Genomic DNA, 22,122 nt, shown 5'->3' on the forward strand with positions numbered 1-22,122 from the left:
CCAGCACTTTGGGAGGCCAAGGCGGGCGGATCACGAGGTCAGGATATCGAGACCATCCTGGCCAACATGGTGAAACTCAGTCTTTACTAACAATACAAAAATTAGCCGGGCGTGGTGGCACATGCCTGTAGTCCCAGAGAGGATGAGGCAGGAGAATTGCTTGAACCCAGGAGGCGGAGGCTGCAGTGAGCTGAGATCGCGCCACTGCGCTGCAGCCTGGCAAGAGAGCAAGACTCCATCTCAAAAAAAAAAAAAAAAAAAGAAAATGAGGGGAAGAGATAAAACCCTTTGTGGTGAAGGGAGGAAGGAATGGGAAGTCACCCAAGGCTGTCCAGGGAGCTGGGGGTGGGGCTGTTTCTGGAACCTAAGCACACGTACCACCTCCCCTTCCTCTGACCTAATGAGGGCTCGAGTTGGAAACCACAAACCCTCGTTGGCCCCACAGGAGCCAGCCTCTGGCTTCTCTCTGCAATGGCCATGTGCTGCAGACCCGGAGTGGGTAGTTAGTTGGTTAATGCCAGTCTTCCTCCCCTGGACACTGAGTTCTGCTGACAGCCCCCGCCCAGCCAGAGCTCTGCTGTATACCACCGGGAGTGGGGCTGGTGTGGAGCCTGGAGGTCGCCCGCTGCCCTCCTAGGGCTGCTCCAGACAGCATTAAAACGCTGCAGGTCGCAGGTGAGACTAACAGCTGGGAGAGCTGCTCCAGGCATTTAGGACCCTGACTGGGGCAGATGAGTCAGCCCAGTGGGGGCAGGGCTCCTGGAACGAGGATCTACAGTTGGAGTTGCCCCACTGTCATGTCACCTGGAGAAAAACTGGACCCAATTCCTGACAGCTTCATTCTGCAACCACCAGTCTTCCACCCGGTGAGTTGTCACTCTAATGTGGAACCTCCTCGGTCTCTGGGCTCTTCCCTTCCAACTGGGCCCACACTCCTGGGTGGTGGGGTGGAAAGGACCTCAGTCTTTCTGCTTCTCCCAGCACCTGCCCTGGGTTCTGGAAGGCCCTCCTGAGCTTAGTAAAGTGGCTGACTGCTAATTCCCACTTGGGTGTAAATGACTGCTAGGCTTCCAGGGTCACTGCATTTTGAAAGTGGCGAAGCCTGGAGCCACAGTGCTCTGCCCCTACTGTAATGGATGCTAGGAGGATGAGGGTGTGGGGGTAGGATTGTTGGGGGAATGCTGATTACTTAGTAAGGACAGTCTCATCCCCAGCCTGGAAGGAAGGGTCAGGTGGGAATTTCCACTCAGGGATAGGGGTTGGGGGTGTTTCTCTCTTTCTCCTCCAGCTCAGTCAGTGCCCAAGAGGTTTTCTGAAGCCAGGCAATGATTTACAGAAGGCTGAATTCCCAGCAGACACCCCCTACTAATGAGCATTAATTATCACTTTCCCTTACTTGGCCCTCCCCTCCCATGAGAGCTGCATCCACTCAGTTAATTACAGGCCTGGAGGGAGCCTGGGAATGGGAAGTGATCAACTGCTGAACCAACCAGCTGAGCTTGCCAAGCTGGCATCCCAAGCCTCCCTCCCATGCTTCTCAGGTGCCTGAGGAATGGGCTGAAGCAGCTGCCCAGGTTACGGCAGCTCCTTGCTTTAGAGGCTGAGAGCTCGCACCTGGAGGGCCATCCTGGTGGTTTTCAGTTTTTTCTAGGTGGTTTGGGTTCCTAAAGGTTGTTGGGAGTTAGAGAGCAACACAGGAAGGCCAATCCTGTGATACCACTGGTATGTACCTGCCATCCTGCTCACATTCATTCCAAACACATCTATGCAGAGCCCTCACGGCGTCAGGTGAGGCACTGAGCCTACAGGAGGGAAAGAGAAGGCTTCAGTTTTGAGGGGCTTATAAACTAGGGAAAAAAGCCAACCAGTCGCTCTAAGCCAAGGGCCAAGCCAGCCACATGAGCAAAATGCCCTGGGAGCTCAGGGGAAGAAAGGAATAATCCAAGGAACCCAAGTGGATGATGCTTGGAAAGAGTCAGGGTGGAAAGAGACAGGAGGAACAGCCCAGAAAAGGCAGGAAGTTGTAAAACTGTATGATGTATTTTAGGAAGGCCAGGCAACTTCTTTTTTTTTTTTTTTTTTTTTTTTTTTGAGACCAAGTCTTGCTTTTTCGCCCAGGCTGAAGTACAGTGGCATGATCTCAGCTCACTGCAACCTCCTCCATCTCCCAGGCTCAAGCAATTCTCCTGCCTCAGCCTCCTGAGTAGCTGGGATTAGAGGTGCATGCCACCACACCCAGCTAATTTTTGTATTTTTAGTAGAGATAGGGTTTCACCATGTTGGCCAAGCTGGTCTCGAACTCCTGACCTCAAGTTGATCCACCCGCCTCAGCTTCCCAGAGTGCTGAGATTACAGGCATGAGCCACAGAGCCCAGCCCAGGTAACTTCTACATGGGGAAAGGTGAGCCTGGGAAGGCCATTGTTAAGTGCCTCTCCAGGGGTCCATTTCAGAGTTAGCTGTCAGTTCCTAACTTGTCCATTCTTCTTGCCTCCCAGTTCCTAGTCTCCAGCCACTCAACAGTCCTCAGAAAGCCCCAGTACCAGGCTTCTGGGGACCAGGGTGACATCTAGTGGATGGCAAGCCTCCCTGGGGTCACTGCAGCCTGTTGTGTCCTAGGAGCTGGGGAAAGGCAACTGGCTGGTGCTGAATTTGGCAAGGGAGCGGAATTTGACTTCTCTGGTGTAATGCAGCTTTGCCGTGTGACGGTCCAGGAAAGGGGATTAGGTGGAAGAAAATATTTCAGTGAACACTGATTTTTACCTATAAGGAATTTTCTGTTTGGAGAGGAAAAGTTGAGTTTTATTCTGCTCCTTTCCTCCCACTCGCCTGACATAGAGGTCCCTAAGCCCTTTCTCCAAACCTGCATGGATGAGTTTCTTTTCTTGTTCAGGTGGTTCCTTATGTCACGACGATTTTTGGAGGCCTGCATGCAGGCAAGATGGTCATGCTGCAAGGAGTGGTCCCTCTAGATGCACACAGGTAAGGCGGGGGAGGTGGCCCAGGGGGTGCTGGAGCTCAGCCCTAGAGGCATCGAGCTGGAGGGCTCCTCCCTGCCACTGAGATCTCTGTGGGTCTCTGGTCAGAACCGCACTTTGAGAGCCTCACCTCCCAGTAGGTTTCAGGTGGACTTCCAGTGTGGCTGCAGCCTGTGTCCCCGGCCAGATATCGCCTTCCACTTCAACCCTCGCTTCCATACCACCAAGCCCCATGTCATCTGCAACACCCTGCATGGTGGACGCTGGCAAAGGGAGGCCCGGTGGCCCCACCTGGCCCTGCGAAGAGGCTCCAGCTTCCTCATCCTCTTTCTCTTCGGGAATGAGGAAGTGAAGGTGAAGGAAGGGACGGGCATTGGGTGGTCTAGAATTTGTGTCCTTGCGCCCTTCCTTCCCTCAGCCAGACTCCCCACGACACAATGTTGAGTGGCATTGGTAGTGGTCAGGTACCAAGAGGACCAAGGAGCTGCCATGCCCGGTTCCAGGCTGCCCTGGGCCCACATGGCAGCAAGAAAGCTCTACAGTGCCTGGCTCCAAAGAGGGCACTCCTGCCATAGTCATGGCAAGCACTTAGAGAGAACCTACTGTATACCAGGAACTGTTCTAAGCCCTTAAAAGTATCTGCTCATTGAATGCTCACAATAACCCCATTAGGTAGGTACCTTCATTATCCCCATCTTACAGCCACAGTGGCAGGGGAGAGGGACAGAGAACTTGATCTCAAGGTTTAGACCCCTAATGTGAGCTCCTGCCAGAAACATGATGGGATCTTCAGACATCTCCAGGAGACAGGGCAGCTGGCGGGAGGGTAGCCTCTTGAGCCTCAGTTTCCTCACGTAAATGGAGCAAAGATGACTCTTTGGGCTGCTGAGAAAGCACAATGAGGGGCCTCTGTTGGGGTAGAGGGAGCGTTGAAGGTGCCTTAGTCTCCAGGCCAGCTCTGCAACCTTTGGAAGATTACTTAAGCCGCCCAAGGCTCTGTAAAATGTACCTACCTCATAGAGATGACGTGAAGTTAAGTGAGGCAAAATTGAGGAAAAAGTGCTTGGCAATGCCTGGGACATTGTTATGAACTCAATGAACATTAGCTGCTGATAAGCCAGCCTCTGTCTGTCTCTCCAGGTGAGTGTGAATGGACAGCACTTTCTCCACTTCCGCTACCGGCTCCCACTGTCTCATGTGGACACGCTGGGTATATTTGGTGACATCCTGGTAGAGGCTGTTGGATTCCTGAACATCAATGTAAGTTTCCTTGGGACCAAGGCCTGGGCAGTGGCAGCCTCTAATTTCCCCTGACTCCTGGACGGGCCTGGGACCCCTTCCTCCACCCTAGACTGAGAGAGAGGACGCCCTGTGCACCAGTAATAGCCAAGGGGGAGGGAGTCCACTGAGGTTTCGGGTGTGAGTGGGCTGAGGGGGAAGAGAAAGTGATGGCAGAAAGGGTGTCCAGGAGCCGCAGGCAGGAGTCTGTAACCAGTGTGGGTCTGGTTAACACTGAGAAGCAATGGCCAGGAATGATTTGGCACACTGGGGGCCGAAACGGGTGGCAGCTGGCTTTATCATTCCCACCTGATGGGCTTATTAAAGCCCAGATTTCTGGGGCTTGCCACCAGAGATTCTGATTCAGTAAGTCCAAGGTGGGGCCTAGGAATTGGGATGTTCAAAATGCCAGCAAGAAGCTACCACTGACCAGCCGAATGGGAACATGAGGAGCTGTAAAGGCCAGGGCTCTGCCCACCTCCCAGGCATAGGTAGGGGATTGCAGTGGTCCTAAATGCTGCTGATTCTTTTCTCTCTTTCTGAACAGCCATTTGTGGAGGGCAGCAGAGAGTACCCAGCTGGACATGTGAGTTTCTTGGCAGCAAGGTCTGAGCAGCCACACCAGCTGACCCGCCCTTCTGGACTGCTGCTCCCATTACACAAGGCCCAGCTGCCCCTTCCCTCACTGCTGCGGTTGCCACGGACATGGCTGGCTCTGCTTCAGTCTCTGGAGGGCCTGGATTTTCCTCTCCCAGCCCCTCTCCAGGCCCAGCTTGGGAAGATGAATGGGGGTGGGCTGCATGCAGAGGGGGCAAGACCCCGTATTCCTAGCAGGAGAGGCCTTAGTTGAAATGCTCATTTCTCAAACCACCTCTGCAAGGTGGCTGGGGTTGGTCTTGCGGGACAGAAGGGGAGATGAGGCCCATGTACTGCCCAAGGCCACACAGGGAGTGGATGACAAATCCTCCACCCCGTTCTTCCCTATTATTCCAGCGCTGGTGAACCTCTGAAGTCCAGAGGATCCCACTGGGGCTCCAATGACTCACCTACTGCTGTGAGAGAGACAAGCCCCAAATATTCCCAATTTGTTAGAATAACAAGAGTTTCCCTTTTCCTGAGCAAATACCACATGGCCTTGTGTCCTCTCTTTCTTTCCCTGACAGCCTTTCCTGCTGATGAGCCCCAGGCTGGTGAGTGAACCTCCCTCCTGCTCTGTCAGGGCTGGGGGCGCAGCCTGGGTGAGCAGCTAATGAGCTCAGCCTGGTAGGACATGCCCCCAGCCTCAGGATTTCCCCTTCCTTTATAGAAAACTGCAGGCTGTGGGTGGGCCAGGCAGCTTATGCCCCCAGCCGCATGATTTCCCCTTCCTTTATAGCAAGCTGCAGGCTGTGGGTGGGCTGGGCAGCTTCAGGCTGAAGCTCCAGCTTCATTTTACCTTTTCTCCACTTATTGTGAACATCATTACTTGATACTTCTCTGTGCCAGGCCCGGTGCCAGGCTCTAGGATAGAGGAACAAGCTGGTCCCAGCCGTCCAGTTGCTCACAGGCTGGTGGGGGACAGACCACTAGATGGCAATTACAGTTAAGGATGCAGTGAAGGGAGAAGGACATGGTGGTCGGGACACAGAGAGGCCAAGCTCAGCCTGGACAGGCCGGGGAAAGTGTTCGGCAATAACAGAGTACAGGAGGCCAGGTGCTTAACAAATAAGCAGCGTGTCCTGGCGGCAGGCCTGGGCAGAACATGCCTGCCCCAGTGCTCCCCTGGCCCCCGGGGATGGGCGGTCCTCCCCAGTCCCCCTGGAAGTCAACTTCTCAATACCTCCCTTGTTCCTTCAGGAGGTGCCCTGCTCACATGCTCTTCCCCAGGGTCTCTCGCCTGGGCAGGTCATCATAGTACGGGGACTGGTCTTGCAAGAGCCGAAGCAGTAAGTATCCAGCATCTAAGTGGAGGGGAGGGAGCAGCCTCTCTGTGACAGTCACATGCTATAAAACATCATCTCTTTTAATCTCCTAGCACCACCATTTAATCCCCATTTTACAGATGAGGAAACAGAGGAGCAGAAAGGAGAAGTGGCCCAATTTGGCAGAGCTTATGAAGGTCAGGCTGGGACTGGGACCGACAGCCCCACTGCTGGGAGCATCATTCCTGCTGGTACATCTAGTCAGGCCTAGCCTCTTGTCCCAGGTCCTAGGAAAGGGGCCCCAGGAAAGGCCCTTCGTAGGTGCAGGCTGAGGCCCAGAGCAAACATGTAGCTTCCTATGGTAACACAATGTGTGGTTCAAAAGATACAGCCAGACTGCCCCAGAGAAGAGGGCTGGTATTTGGAAGCCAGGACTTGGAGGGACCCAGTGACTAAGTGGACATTACCAAACTTCTCCTACATGGTGCTTTCAAACCCAGACCTGTGGCTCCAATCCAGTTAGACAGGAGCCACTGGCCGGCCTGCCTTGAGGAAACGCATTAGAGTTTATGACTTCTCTGGGCCAGAATGCCTGGGTTGGCATGTGCTCAGGACACCTACTTGTGCAACCTTAGGACAGATACTTTTCCTCTCTGTGCCTCTGTTTTCCTCTCTGTAAGAAGGGGATGATAGGCCGGGCGCGGTGGCTCACACCTATAATCCCAGCACTTTGGGAGGCCGAGGCGGGTGGATCACGAGGTCAGGAGTTGGAGACCAGCCTGACCAACATGGTGAAATCCTGACTCTACTGAAAATAGAAAAATTAGCCGGGCATGGTGGCGCATGCCTGTAATCCCAGCTACTCAGGAGGCTGAGGCAGGAGAATCGCTTATACCCGGGAGGCAGAGGTTGCAGTGATCCGAGATCGCGCCACTGCACTCCAGCCTGGGCAATAGAGCAAGACTCCATCTCAAAAAAAAAAAAAAAAGATAGAGGGGGTTGATAATAATGCCGACTTTAGGGGTGGTACTTAGAATAGTGCCTGGTACATGGTAAGTGTCCACAAATGTGGGTACTACTGCAATCATCTCAGTGGAGGTAGGGGAGGGCAGAGTAAGGAAAGCACCCTATGTTCTCCTTGCTTAATTTTGTTTTTATTTTTAAGTCACTGACCTCACTAAACCCTTGCCCTGCACACTGCCGATCATGCCTGTGAATTCTGGGACAGGCATGAAGCCCAGCACTCGATGGCCTCGGCCTCCAAAGACAGGCATGACTGAGTTGGATTCCTGGTTTTGTCTCTTATAAACAGTGCGGTCGTGGGCCAGTCACTAAACCTCTCTGAGTCTGAGTTTCCCTACCGGAAAAAGGTGAATGATAATTCCAACCTGCTAGGGAAAATGAAAAGTGCTCAGTGATGGAACACTTCTTCCCACAAAACTTGGAGGCATGAGACCGGGTTCATATTGTAGCTCAAAGTCACAAGGTTACTAGTGACATAGTCAGCAAGTAACTGCTGTTTCCCAAGGGCCATGAATGCATGTGTCCTCAGAGGCCAGACAGGTCTCATAAATAGTGAGGAAACCAGTTGGGAAGGTGGTAAAGGGGAAGGAGTATCTCCATACACCCAGTCATGCCAGATCTTCTGACTATTTTTAAAGCAAAAATAGAAGCCATCTTTTATATAAACTCTCTCAATTTTTGAATATTATATTAAAGTTGAAGAATACTATGGACCAGACAAAACATTCCTATACACCAGTTCAGCCGAGATCCACCAACATGAAGATTTAGCACAGCACCTGGTATTTAGCGAGGCTGCAACCAATGCAGCTGCTGCTATTTTGTGAAAGCAACTGATGGCTTGAATGGGGCAGAGAGAGTAAGAGATGGAGGGCACAGGATTCATCTGCAGTGAAAATCTATCCCTCCTTCTTCACCTCATCCCTTCCCTCCTCGTTATTGAGTGGGAGTGTATGACTGCAGCCTCAAAGAGCTTCAACAGAGCTTCACTGGGCATCTGGTGATTTGTGATTATTCAGTGATCTAGTGGGCATCTAGTGATTCATGATTATCCAGTGATCTGGCGGGCTGAGCTGCATGAAGGTGAGGTAGGGAGACACTGAGGCCTCCTCACCAGGAGTTCGCAGGCCAGAGGAAGACACAGTGTTGTCTGGCAGGACGGGGTAGGGGGAGCCATAGTGGGGCTGGAGGCTCCACGCAGTCCACTCTCCAGGGTTCCTGCCTTCCAAGCTTCTTCCCAACATTGGGCCCTGGCCACCTCCTTCCCAAAGTTGGAAACTTACGGGGCCTCCTCCTGTAAGGATCTACCAATAGCCCTTGAAAGGCCTGTCCAGGGCGGCCTTTTCCCCTACCTTACCTGCCTCTGCATCCCATCAGGATGCCGCGCCTTCTCCAGCATAGCTCTTCAAGAAGGAAACTTGGGAAGTTCCCAAGACATAAAAATAATCTGGGCCGGGCGCGGTGGCTCAAGCCTGTAATCCCAGCACTTTGGGAGGCCAAGGTGGGCAGATCACAAGGTCAAGAGATCGAGACCACCCTGGCCAACATAGTGAAACCCCATCTCTACTAAAAATACAAAAATTAGCTGGGCGGTGCGGGCATGCGCCTGTAGTCCCAGCTACTCCGGAGGCTGAGGCAGGAGAACTGCTTGAACCTGGGAGGAAGAGGTTGCAGTGAGCCGAGATCGTGCCACTGCACTCCAGCTTGGTGACAGAGCAAGACTCTGTCTCAAAAAAATAAAATAAAATAAAGAAAAATAATATAATCCGGTTGCCCTATTTGAGAGGCAGGTGCCAGATCCCCCCACCCCCAAATCTAGAGTCATGAATCCTAGTTCACATCCTAACCTAAGGCCCTACCACTATTACTAGTAACAGAGAAGTCATTTAACTTCTTGTCCTCATCACTTAAATGGGCTGACAAACCTCACAGCACAGAATTTGTGAGGATTAAGGAAAGGCAAACTAGCTTCTGTAAAACACCTACTGTGTGCTAGGAATTGCTAGTTTTCACATACATTATCTCCTTTGTTCCTTTTTTTTTTTGGCTCTATGAGGTAGAGATTGTATTATATAGCAATATTTTTAAACAATAGGTATCATCTGAATGCTTATTACGTTCCAGGTGCTATTCTAAATAAGCATTTTTTTATGTATTCATTTAATTCTTACAACAATGCCACAGGCAGGTACAGGGCAGTTATGTTATCGTCACATTACAGATGAGGAAACTGAGGCACAGAGAGATTAAGAGTCTTGCCCAAGGTCACAGGACTAGAAAGTAGCAGAGCCAGGGTTGAATCGGGACTGCCTGACTCTAACCACTATGCTGTTTGGAAAACATTTAAGATAATACCTGGCACTTAGTTAGCATTCAATAAATGTTAGCTGTAGCTATCATCATCATAATCATCCCCATTTTCAGGAGGAGAAACTGAAGCTCAGGCTAGGCAATTTTCACACACTTCCCTCCCACCCCCATCCTCCTGTAGTCATAGATGGCAACCCTGGAGGTCAATCTCAAGTTCATCTAGAACTCGTGTTCTTTCCACTGTTCTGAGCATTCAGCCATGAGGCTGTCATAGGCCCTCAGTGCTTGTTTCTGGAGGCTGAAGCAGCTCAACCTTCCATCCACTCCCTGACCTCCATCCTTCCCCTGGGGGCTGAGCAGCGGCCTATGGGCAATGGGCGCTGATTCCTTCTCCTTCCTCCTGCTTCCTGCAGTTTTACTGTGAGCCTGAGGGACCAGGCTGCCCATGCTCCTGTGACACTCAGGGCCTCCTTCGCAGACAGAACTCTGGCCTGGATCTCCCGCTGGGGGCAGAAGAAACTGATCTCAGCCCCCTTCCTCTTTTACCCCCAGAGATTCTTTGAGGTAGGTCAGAGCCAAATGATTACATCCCTTCAGGCTGGAGCACAGAGCTGAAGTCCCATAATGACCTGGGAGATGCTGGGGCAGGTGTGCAGGACAGATGTTATGGGGTGGGAGGCCAGAGCCAGCAGAGCACAGCGAATGTCTGTACAGCAGTCCTCAACGCTCCACTCTGATGCCAGGGATCCCATGGCCAGAAACTCAATTGATGCAGGTGGGGGGGGGCCCAGGCATCAGCTTTATTAAAAAGCTCCCCTAATGATTCCGACGTGCAGAACCACTCCTCTACAGGAAGCAGCCCCAGTTACAGGTGGTGAAACTGAGGCCCAAGGCTGGGAAGATCCTTGTCAAAGACCACAGTGGGCTGGTGACAAGCCGGGCCCCTTATCCTGTTCTTTTCCAGCACTGTACTGGGTGCCCCCTGGGTCCAGTCTTCGTGTCCTATGAGAGGAGGAGGGTCTCACTGGAGAGAGCGTCAGGCAGACAAGGGAAAGTCTGGCTGGAAGCTGCAACCCCCTCATGTCCTCCTTTCCCAGGTGCTGCTCCTGTTCCAGGAGGGAGGGCTGAAGCTGGCGCTCAATGGGCAGGGGCTGGGGGCCACCAGCATGAACCAGCAGGCCCTGGAGCAGCTGCGGGAGCTCCGGATCAGTGGAAGTGTCCAGCTCTACTGTGTCCACTCCTGAGGATGGTTCCAGGGAAATACCGCCAGAAAACAAGAAGGTCAGCCCACTCCCAGGGCCCCACTCTCCTCCCCTCATTAAACCATCCACCTGACACCAGCACATCAGGCCTGGTTCACCTCTGGGGTCACGAGACTGAGTCTACAGGAGCTTTGGGCCTGAGGGAAGGCACAAGAGTGCAAAGGTTCCTCGAACTCTGCACCTTCCTCCACCAGGAGCCTGGGATATGGCTCCATCTGCCTTCAGGGCCTGGACTGCACTCACAGAGGCAAGTGTTGTAGACTAACAAAGATACTCCAAAATACAATGGCTTAAAGAATGTGGTCATTTATTCTTTATTATTTATTTATTTGTGGTCAAATAAATAAATAAGGTTATTTATTTATTTCGTTCTCATCTAGCAATTCTAGAGACAATGGTCCAGCTTAGCAGGGCAGCTCTGCTCCCTGGAGACATTCAGGGTCTGTCCTAGCCATTGTTCCACCACCCCCAGGGCATCATCATTGTCTCTGTGGCCCAAGCTCAGCTGCCACCCTATCTTGGCCTCACCCACTGAGAAGGCTAGTAGTGGCAGTGGACAAGACCCACCTGATATCATAAGCCCCAGACATGGGTCCGACACACACCAGCTACAGTCACATTTCATCTGCAGGCACTCAGTCTCGGTCACACTACCTGCAAGGGAGGCTGGAAATGTTCTTCAGTGGGACACATAAGACCAGCCACATGAAATAGAGTAGTCATAAAATAACAGAATAGTTTTATTCTATTACTATAAAAAACAGGGAGAATGGATTTTGGTGGATAGCCACAGTCTCTGAGACAAGTAGATGCTGTTAATATCCTCATTTTATAACATAAGAAACTGACGCACAGAAAGGCTAATTTGCCAAGATCACACAGTGAGTAAGTCATGGGATTAGAACCCAGGGATTCTGTCTGCAGAGTTTGCGGCTCTTAACCATAAACCATTATCTAGAGTACACAGGCACACTAGAGCTTCCAGATAAAGATGGACATCGGAGCTGGAGGCTTGAGAGGAATCAAAGAACCTTGCAAGTCGAAAAGTACAGACAAGACAAACGAAGGACCACCACCAAGGAAAGAGCAAGATTAAATGAGAAATAATTTAAGAATTATATATAACTGTATATAATATATACCATATATACATATATATAGCATAGTATACATTATACAGTAATATATGTGCCATGGTCTGAATGTTTGTGTCCTCCCAACTAAAATTTATATGTTGAAATCCTAGCACCCAAGGAAATGGTGTTTGGAGGTGGGGACTTTGGAGGGTGATTAGGTCATGAAGGTGGAGCCTTCATGAATGGGATTAGTGCCCTTATAAAAGAGACTCCAGGCCGGGCGAGGTGGCTCACGCCTGTAATCCCAGCACTTTGGGAGGCCAAGGCAGGCAGATCACCTGAAGTCAGGAGTTCGACACCAGCCTGGCCAACATGGCAAAACCCCGTTTCTACTAAAAACACAAAAATTAGCTGCGCATGGTGGCACACGCCCGTAATCCCAGCTACTCAGGAGGCTGAGGCAGGAGAATCGCTTGAACCCGGGAGGCAGAGATTGCATTGAGCCAACATCATACCACTGCACTCCAGCCTGTGTGACAGAGCCAGACTCTGTCTCAAAAAAAAAATATATATATATAAATAAAATAAAAGAGACTCCAGAGAGCTCCCTCACCCCTACCACCATGTGAGATTACAGCAAGAAAACAGGCGTTTATGAAATGGGAAGCAGGCCTTCACCAGAAACAAAATCTGCCAGTGCTTTGCTCTTGAATTTTCCAGCCTCCAGAACTGTCAACAATAAATTTGTTGTTTATAAGTTACCCAGTCTAACACATTTTAAAGCTGGACCTCTACCATTCACCATGTACAAAAGTTAACACAAGATGGATTAAAGATTTAAAGTAAGACCTTGAACTATAAGAATCCTAGAAGAAAACCTAGGAAACACCATTCTGGACCCTGATCTTGGAAAAGAATTTGTGACTAAGTCCTCAGAAGCAATGGCAACAAAAACAAAAATTGGCAAGTGGGACCTAATTAAAGAGCTTCTGGGCAGCAAAAGAAACTATCCACAGAATAAACAGACACCACACAGAATGAGAGAAAAATAGTATATTCACAAAGTGTACATCCCACAAAGGTCTAATATCCTGAATCTATAAGGAGCTTAACAAGAAAAAACCCCATCCAAAAGTGGACAAAAGGCATGATAGACAGGTCTCAAAAGAAGACATACAAGTGGCCAATAAACACATGAAAAAATGCTCATCATCACTAATCGTCAGAGAAATGCAACTCAAAACCACAAGAGGATATCATCTCATACCAGTCAGGATGTTTATTATTAAAAGGTCAAAAACAGCAGATGCTGGTGAGCCTGCAGAGAAAAGAAAATGCTTATGCACTGTTGGTGGGAATGTACATTAGTTCAGTCACTGTGAGAAGCACTTTGGAGATTTCTCAAAGAACTTAAAACAGAACTACCATTTGATCCAGCAATCCCATTACTGGGTATACATCCAAAAGAAAATCATTCTACCAAAAAGACACTTGGACTTGCATTTTTTTTTTTTTTTTGAGACGGTGTCTTGCTCTGTCACCCAGGCTGGAGTGCAGTGGCACGATCTTGGCTCACTGCAAGCTCCACCTCCCAGGTTCACGCCATTCTCCTGCCTCAGCCTCCCGAGTAGCTGGGACTACAGGCATCCACCACCATGCCCGGCTAATTTTTTGTATTTTTTTTTTTTTAGTAGAACAGGGTTTCACCATGTTAGCCAGGATGGTCTTGATCTCCTGACCTCGTGATCCGCCCACCTCGGCCTCCCAAAGTGCTGGGATTACAGGCGTGAGCCACCATGCCCAGCCGGACTTGTATGTTAATTGCAGCACTATTCACAATAGCAAAGACATGGAATCAACCTAGGTGCCTGTCAACAGAGGATTGGATGAAGAAAATGTGGTGCATATACACCATGGATTACTACACAGTCATAAAAAAGAATGAAACTATGTCCTTTGCAGCAACATAGATGCAGCTGGAGGCCATTATCCTTAGTGAATTAACAGAAGAACAGAAAACCAAATACCATATATTCTCACTTATAAGTAGGAGCTAAACATTGGGTGGTCATGGACAAAGAGATGGCAATAGACTCTGGGGACTACTAGACTGGAGGGAGAAAAGAAGGAAGGAATGGGAGAAAGGGTTGAAAAACCATTGGGTATTATGCTCACTACCTGAGTGACGGGATAATTCACACCCCAAACCTCAGCTTTACACAATATACAAACCTGCACAGGTACTCTCTGAATCTAAAATAAAAGTTGAAATTATTTTTTAAAAGAAGATAAACCTCAATTTCCACAAATGTTTTATAGGATATTTTTATTAAAATGTATTCTGTGTATAGATTTTTAGGGGCACAGAGGAGCTTGCATCTCTACATTGCTTCTTCCCAATCATATATACAGTATATCCCTCAATTTATTTTGGTCATCCTTTATTTCCTTCTGTCACTGGGAAACCAAGTTCTTTCCTTACTTTGTATTGATAGCCAAGAAAGAATATCCAATTGGAAAAAAAGGCAAGCAGATTTTATTGCTGGTCAGGAACGGAGGAGTGAGCTCTTTTTCTAAAGAACCCCTTCCGAAGGTGATGGAATCCAGGGAACTTTAAGGAATTAGATGTGGGGCGGGGAGGTATGTATGTAAGCATGTACAGGGAGGAACTCCAGATGTGCAGTTACAGATCATAAACATGCTTCTTCATATGAGGTATGTTCAGAAAATGGCAGCAATTTTCTTCTAGGGGTGGGGATTTGATATGGTTTGGCTATGTCCCCACCCAAATCTCATCTTGAATTCCCATGTGTTGTGGGAGGGACGCAGTGGGAGGTAATTGAATCATGGGGGCAAGCCTTTCCCAGGCTGTTCTCGTGATAATGAATAAGTCTCCTGAGATCTGATGGTTTTAAAAAGAGGAGTCCCCCCCTTTTTTTAAAAAAGTTTTTAAACTTCTATTTGCATATTTTTGAAAATTTTGCATTCCAATACTTAAAATCATTTGAACAAAAAAAAAATGGCACTCTGATTAAACAGTATTACAGGCTGCATGACACCTTGGGCCAGCTTGGTTTTACTCTAGATTTCATTGTTGTCCCACCCCACTTTTTCCACCCCACTTCTTCCTTCACCAACATGCACGTTCTTTCCTTTTCTGCCAGCCAGAAAGTCAGATGGGAGTGGCAGGCTTGGCCTTCATTGTCAGTAGTTCTTTGGTGTGAAAGGGGCAGCAGAGTCATTTAAACTTGATCCAACCTCTATGCATCTTACAAAGTTAAACAGCTAAAATAAGTAAAATAAGAAAGCAATGCTTGTGGAATGTACAGTGCATATTGGCAGCACATGCCTCATTACGATTCACCAGCTTGCTTCTCCTGTTCAATCATTTCTTTGGAAGGCAGTGGATTTTTCTCTTGCACTTCTGTCTTCTTCAGTTTCGACTTATCTCTTTGCCTCTGCCATCCATGTAAGATGTGACTTGTTCCTCTTTGCCTTCCACCATGATTGTGAGGCTTCCCCAGCCATGTGGAACTATTAGTCCAATTAAACCTCTTTATTTTGTAAATTGCCTAGTCTCAGATATGTCTTTATCAGCTGCGTGGCCTAATACAGGACTTTAGCATTATAATGATACGTTAATGATCTGAAGGTAACAAGGCATCACCAGCTCAGTTTGCTGGGGTCTTGCTCTGACCTTATCTTCCTCTAGTAATTGCCAAAGAGTCCTGAGGCTCCAGCAGCCTCCTGGGCCATCTGAAGTTCTCTTAAGCAAACATACCTGTAGGTAAAATGATTTAAAAACCTGTTTAAGGAAGAACAATGAGCTTTCTTAGTTATCTACTGTTTAAGAAAATAACAAGCTTTCTCAGCTATGTCTCCAGGGTTGCTCTGGTAACATAAGATGTGTGTGTTTGTTTTTACTGGGGCATCGCACAACTTTTGTTAGATTTATACTTAGGCACTTTATAGCTTTGTGTGTGATTTGTAAATGCTATCTTTTTAAAAAATTGTACTTACTTGATACTGGTACAAAAATGCACCTGATTTATGTATATTAATCTCGTTCCTAGCAAACTTGCTAAAATTATATATATTTTATTAGTTCAAATAGACAATCTTGCCCTGGCACAGTGGCTTACACCTGTAATCCCAGCGCTTGGGGAGGCCGAGGCAGGTGGATCGCTTGAGGTCAGGAGTTTGAAACCAGCCTTGCCAACATGGCGAAACTCCGTCTCTACTAAAAATACAAAAAATTAGCTGGGCATGGTGGCACATGCCTGTAATCCTGCCTACTCAGGAAGCTGAGGCACAAAAATCTGTTGAACCCAGGAGGCAGAGGTTGCAGTGAGCCGAGATCACACCACTGCACTCCAGGCTGGGGGACAGAGCAAGACTCTGTCTCAATAAATAAACAAACAAACAGATAGGTAATCTTACCACTTGCAAAAAATAATGATTTCTGATTTCTTCCTTTCCAATCTCCCTCTCCCTCTCTGTCTCTCACTCTTCCCCCCACTCCCAACCACATTCCCTCGCTTCCTTCCTCTCTCCCTCATGCTTCCTTTATTATATGACATTGGCCAAGAATTCTTGCACACTGTTGAGTAGCAGTGTGGTTAGCAGGCATCCTTGACCTGTTCCTGACCACAGGGAAATGCAATTAAGATTTCACTATTAAATATGATGATTATCATAGGTTGGGAATAGATACTATTTTTAGGGTAAAGAGATTTTCATTTTTTCTTAGTTTGTTAAGATACACTTTCATTTTTTTCATGAGTGAGTGTCAAGTCTGTCTTCTGCGTTTACTGATATGATCATATTTTTTCTAATCTGTTAATGAGGTAAATTACATTAATAGGCTTTCTAATTTCATGCTATAAGTATCTTTAAATTCCTTAAATTCCTGGAGTAAATGAATTTTTAATGAATACATTGCTGCATTTCATTTACTGATACTACTGTTCTTGCATTAAGTTCATAAATTAGCTTATAATTTTACTTATCCATCCATCAATACTATCATAGCCTTAGATTCTGGATTGTCTCTTTTCTGTGCAAGGTCATCAATTGTTTATATGTACTCTAGGTCTTTAATCCATAGATTCCATCTTCCTTTCTTTTTTTCTTACATTTTATTGTTGGGGATAAAACTGATAACTTTTCCTTATAGAGCTTCTCAGAGTCTGAATTCTGCTGGTTAATCCCTAGGGCATTGTTTAAAATACTCCACTGTCTCCTGTACTTCTTTTCATCTAGAGTTTTGATCAGATTCAGTTTCAATTTTTCAGCAAGAAAACCAAAACTACTATCTTATTCCCTAAATGTTTCTTTTTTAATTTAATTTAATTTTATTTATATATATTTTCTTGAGAGAGTCTCAACTCTGTCACCCAGGCTGGAATGCAGTGGCGCAATCTCAGCTCACTGCAGCCTCCACCTCCCAGGTTCAAGTGATTCTTATGCCTCAGCCTCCTGAGTAGCTGGAATTACAGGTGTGCTCCACCACTCCTGGCTAATTTTTGTATTTTTAGTAGAGATGAGGTATCGCTATGTTAGCCAGGCTGGTCTCAAACTCCTGACCTCAAGTGATCCACCTGCCTCAGGCTCCCACAGTGCTAAGATTCCAGTCATGAGCCACCATGCCCAGCTAAATATTTCTTTTTTTATAGCCTCCTGTTCTTGTTTCCTGAATATATTTTCTCTTCTCTCTTCCATGATATAAATTATAGGGAGCCGAAGACCCGTGGGATGTGACCAACTCAGCATTCCACTGGAGGCTATATGATCAAACAGCAAACTGTTTATCATAAATGCAGGATGTGAGCAAACTCACGACTGCTCCTGCCGACACAATGTTTGCTGAGGGCAATCGCTTCCTGGCACCAAGTTCCTTGAGGTTATCTACTGGGAGATCTAGGGAATGCAGTCTTGCAAGCCTACTCTGACCCCTTTTTCCACCCCCCTTTTCACTATCTCTTTTGCCTAATAAATATGGAGGGCTGTGTAAAGCTCAGCGCCCTTGTCCACTAGAGGCAAGTTGCCCCCGACCCCTTCTTCCTAATATACTCTTTTGTCTCTTGTCTTTTATTCCACGTTCGACCCCCCCACCCTTTCTTCAGTCCCCCTAGGTCCATACGGTTTACATAGTGGCACCCCGAACAGCAACAGAATCGGGTGCTCAACAATAAATGATGCTTTTGTAAATTTTCTTCTGCTTGCCATATTTTCTTTGTTTTCTTGAAGCTTATTTGTTAGTTATTTGTGTATTTTGCTGTCTATCTTTCAAATTAGAGGATTTCCTCAAATGCCTGGCAATCCTTAGTTGTTTGTGTTTTTGTTGTTTTTGTTTGTTTGTTTGAGATGGAGTCTCGCTCTGTCACTCAGGCTAGAGTGCAGTGGCATGATCTCAGCTCACTGCAACCTCTGCCTCCTGGGTTCAAGCAATTCTCCTGCTTCAGCCTCCTGGGTAGCTGGGAATACAGGCACATGCCATCAAGCCAGGCTAATTTTTGTATTTTTGCAAGAGATGGGTTTTCACCATGTTGCCCAGGCTGGTCTTGAACTCCTGACCTCAGGTGATCTGCCTGCCTCAGCCTCCCAAAGTGCTGGGATTACAGGTGTGAGCCACTGCACCCAGCCAAGTGGTTTGTTTATATTCAAGAGTGAGGCACTAAAATGCTAATTGGAAGCTTTGTGTACATGGGTTGGGCTTATTGACTTATATGACTCCTCACAGTGAAACAGGTCAATGGTCAATGGTCTCATTGTCTGAAGTGTTATCTGAGTTCATTGTCTCATGACCAAGAAAATTAAGGAGCATGGCTCCAAAGGGTGAGGTTGAAGTAAAAGTTTAATAAGCGAAAGAAGAAAGCTCTCCATAGTGAAGAGGGGAGCCAGAGTGGGTTGCCATTTTACAGTTGAATGCAAAAGCTCTTATAAGAAACTCCTCTCATTTCTCATGTCACCTGGCACATTTGGACCATGCAAGAGGGCTTACAAAAAAAATCAAACTTAATTGATGTAGAACAAATTCCATCCCATACAGAATATAGGTCTATAGTTTTTAATTTTCACAAAGAAAAGATAACCAGCTCATCAGAACATACTATTGGTACTGGTTTAGCAAAGGTTCATACTTCTAAGGTCAAGGCTGATATTGAAACAAAAAGATGTGTTCTTACCTGGAGAAGCCACATGAGCCACAAGGGCCATGTGTACTACATGGGTACAAGGAGGAGCTGGTACCATTCCTTCTGAAACTATTCCAATCAATAGAAAAAGAGGAAATCCTCCCTAATTCATTTTATGAGGCCAGCATCATCCTGATACCAAAGCCTGGCCAAGAAACAACAAAAAGAAAATTTTAGACCAATATCCCTGATGGACATCGATGCAAAAATCCTCAATAAAATACTGGCAAACCAAATCCAGCAACACATCAAAAAGCTTATCCACCATGATCAAGTGGGCTTCATCCCTGGGATGCAAGGCTGGTTCAACATATGCAAATCAATAAATGTAATCCAGCATATAAACAGAACCAAAGACAAAAACCACATGATTATCTCAATAGATGCAGAAGAGGCCTTTGACAAAATTCAACAACCTTCATGCTAAAAATTCTCAATAAATTAGGTATTGATGGGACGTATCTCAAAATAATAAGAGCTATCTATGACAAACGCATGGCCAATATCATCCTGAATGGGCAAAAACTGGAAGCATTCCCTTTGAAAACTGGCACAAGACAGGGATGCCCTCTCTCACCACTCCTATTCAACATAGCGTTGGAAGTTCTGGCCAGGGCAATTAGGCAGGAGAAGGAAATAAAGTGCATTCAATTAGGAAAAGAGGAAGTCAAATTGTCCATGTTTGCAGATGACATGATTGTATATCTAGAAAACCCCATCGTCTCAGCCCAAAATCTCCTTAAGCTGATAAGCAACTTCAGCAAAGTCTCAGGATACAAAATCAATGTACAAAAATCACAAGCATTCTTATACACCAATAACAGACACACAGAGAGCCAAATCATGAGTGAACTCCCATTCACAATTGCTTCAAAGTGAATAAAATACCTAGGAATCCAACTTACAAGGGATGTGAAGGACCTCTTCAAGGAGAACTACAAACCACTGCTCAATGAAATAAAAGAGGATACAAACAAATGGAAGAACATTCCATGCTCATGGGTAGGAAGAATCAATATCGTGAAAATGGCCATACGGCCCAAGGTAATTTATAGATTCAATGCCATCCCCATCATGCTACCAATGACTTTCTTCACAGAATTGGAAAAAACTACTTTAAAGTTCATACGGAACCAAAAAGGAGCCCACATCGCCAAGTCAATCCTAAGCCAAAAGAACAAAGCCGGAGGCATCATGCTACCTGACTTCAAACTATACTACAAGACTACAGTAACCAAAACAGCATGGTACTGGTACCAAAACAGAGATATAGATCAATGGAACAGAACAGAGCCCTCAGAAATAATGCCACGTATCTACAACTATCTGATCTTTGACAAACCTGACAAAAACAAGCAATGGGGAAAGGATTCCCTATTTAATAAATGGTGCTGGGAAAACTGGCTAGCCATATGTAGAAAGCTGAAACTGGATCCCTTCCTTACACCTTATACAAAAATTAATTCAAGATAGAGTAAAGACTTACATGTTAGACCTAAAACCATAAAAACCCTAGAAGAAAACCTAGGCAATACCATTCAGGACATAGGCATGGGCAAGGACTTCATGTCTAAAACACCAAAAGCAATGGCAACAAAAGCCAAAATTGACAAATGGGATCTAATTAAACTAAAGAGCTTCTGCACAGAAAAAGAAACTACCATCAGAGTGAACAGGCAACCTACAAAATGGGAGAAAATTTTCACAACCTACTCATCTGACAAAGGGCTAATATCCAGAATCTACAATGAACTCAAACAAATTTACAAGAAAAAAACAAACAATCCCATCAAAAAGTGGGCAAAGGATATGAACAGACACTTCTCAAAAGAAGACATGTATGCAGCCAAAAAACACATGAAAAAATGCTCATCATCACTGGCCATCACAGAAATGCAAATCAAAACCACAATGAGATACCATCTCACACCAGTTAGAATGGCGATCATTAAAAAGTCAGGTGCTGGACTGACTAATCATTAAAACAACAGGTGCTGGAGAGGATGTGGAGAAATAGGAACACTTTTACACTGTTGGTGAGACTGCAAACTAGTTCAACCATTGTGGAAGTCAGTGTGGCGATTCCTCAGGGATGTAGAACTAGAAATACCATTTGACCCAGCCATCCCATTACTGGGTATATACCCAAAGGATTATAAATCATGCTGCTATAAAGACACATGCACATGTATGTTTATTGCGGCACTATTCACAATAGCAAAGACTTGGAACCAACCCAAATGTCCAACAATGATAGACTGGATTAAGAAAATGTGGCACATATACACCATGGAATACTATGCAGCCATAAAAAATGAAGAGTTCATGTCCTTTGTAGGGACATGGATGAAACCGGAAACCATCATTCTCAGCAAACTATTGCAAGGACAAAAAACCAAACACCGCATGTTCTCACTCATAGGTGGGAATTGAACAATGAGAACACATGGACACAGGAAGGGGAACATCACACTCTGGGGACTGCTGTGGGGTGGGGAGAAGGGGGGAGGGATAGCATTAGGAGATATACCTAATGCTAAGTGATGAGTTAATGGGTGCAGCACACCAACATGGCACATGTATACATATGTAACAAACCTGCACTTTGTGCACATGTACCCTAAAACTTAAAGTATAATAATAATAAAATAAAAAGAAAAAAAAATTAGCCAAGCATTGTGGCACACGCCTGTAATCCTAGCTACTCAGGAGGCTGAGGCAGGAGAATGGCTTGAACCCAGGAGACAGAGGTTGCAGTGAGCCGAGATCACACCATTGATGGGACAGAGTGAGACTGTCTCAAAAACAGAAAAAAAAATGTGCATCCAGTAATGTGATCATACCCTCCCTCTTTCCCCTCCAACCCACTTACCCTCTTTAAATTTAGGAGCTCTCAAAATCACCTTTGGAAAACAGTATGGACCACAGATTGTTCCTGTGGATTTTATGATCCTTTTCTCTGTCCATGTCCTTAACTTTGGCAAAAATAAACTTTTAAATTGAGTGAGACCTGTCTCAGATACTTTTTGGTTTACAGTCATGAGTCAATAATAAACAGAAGGAAAAACCCAAATGACCTATAAATGTATAAAATAATACG

General features: G+C 46.6%; 1 protein-coding gene and 1 pseudogene across 11 annotated transcripts, besides 1 other annotated feature; one reads left to right on the plus strand and one right to left on the minus strand.

Moving 5' to 3' along the window:
* The first annotated feature begins 422 nt into the window (after positions 1 to 422).
* LGALS12 (galectin 12) lies at positions 423 to 11,111 on the plus strand. 11 transcript variants are annotated; one of them, XR_950085.3, is made up of 9 exons: positions 423 to 866; positions 2,892 to 2,980; positions 3,114 to 3,330; positions 4,117 to 4,236; positions 4,802 to 4,840; positions 5,418 to 5,444; positions 6,091 to 6,179; positions 6,269 to 6,352; positions 9,902 to 9,986. XR_950085.3 is itself a non-coding variant. In NM_001142535.2 (9 exons), the coding sequence occupies exons 1-9, from the start codon at positions 798 to 800 to the stop codon at positions 10,730 to 10,732; spliced, it is 948 nt and encodes a 315-aa protein (NP_001136007.2). In that variant the 5' UTR covers positions 423 to 797; the 3' UTR covers positions 10,733 to 11,111. The 11 variants fall into 11 exon arrangements, 7 of the variants coding, with proteins under 7 accessions (NP_001136007.2, XP_016873947.1, NP_149092.3 ...); XR_950087.3 differs by having other exon boundaries at positions 6,296 to 6,352; XR_007062516.1 differs by having other exon boundaries at positions 3,117 to 3,330.
* Positions 4,572 to 5,203: an enhancer, noted in NCBI's record as "H3K27ac-H3K4me1 hESC enhancer chr11:63277705-63278336 (GRCh37/hg19 assembly coordinates)". NCBI's record gives its function as "activates a minimal SCP1, AML or CMV promoter by ChIP-STARR-seq in naive H9 embryonic stem cells {active_cell/tissue: H9 hESC(naive)}" and the evidence as "EXISTENCE:reporter gene assay evidence [ECO:0000049][PMID:30033119]".
* On the minus strand, positions 14,773 to 15,291 carry TMSB4XP5 (TMSB4X pseudogene 5; annotated as a pseudogene).

The sequence above is a fragment of the Homo sapiens genome, chromosome 11 (genome assembly GCF_000001405.40).
Source record: "Homo sapiens chromosome 11, GRCh38.p14 Primary Assembly".
Lineage (NCBI taxonomy): Eukaryota > Metazoa > Chordata > Mammalia > Primates > Hominidae > Homo > Homo sapiens.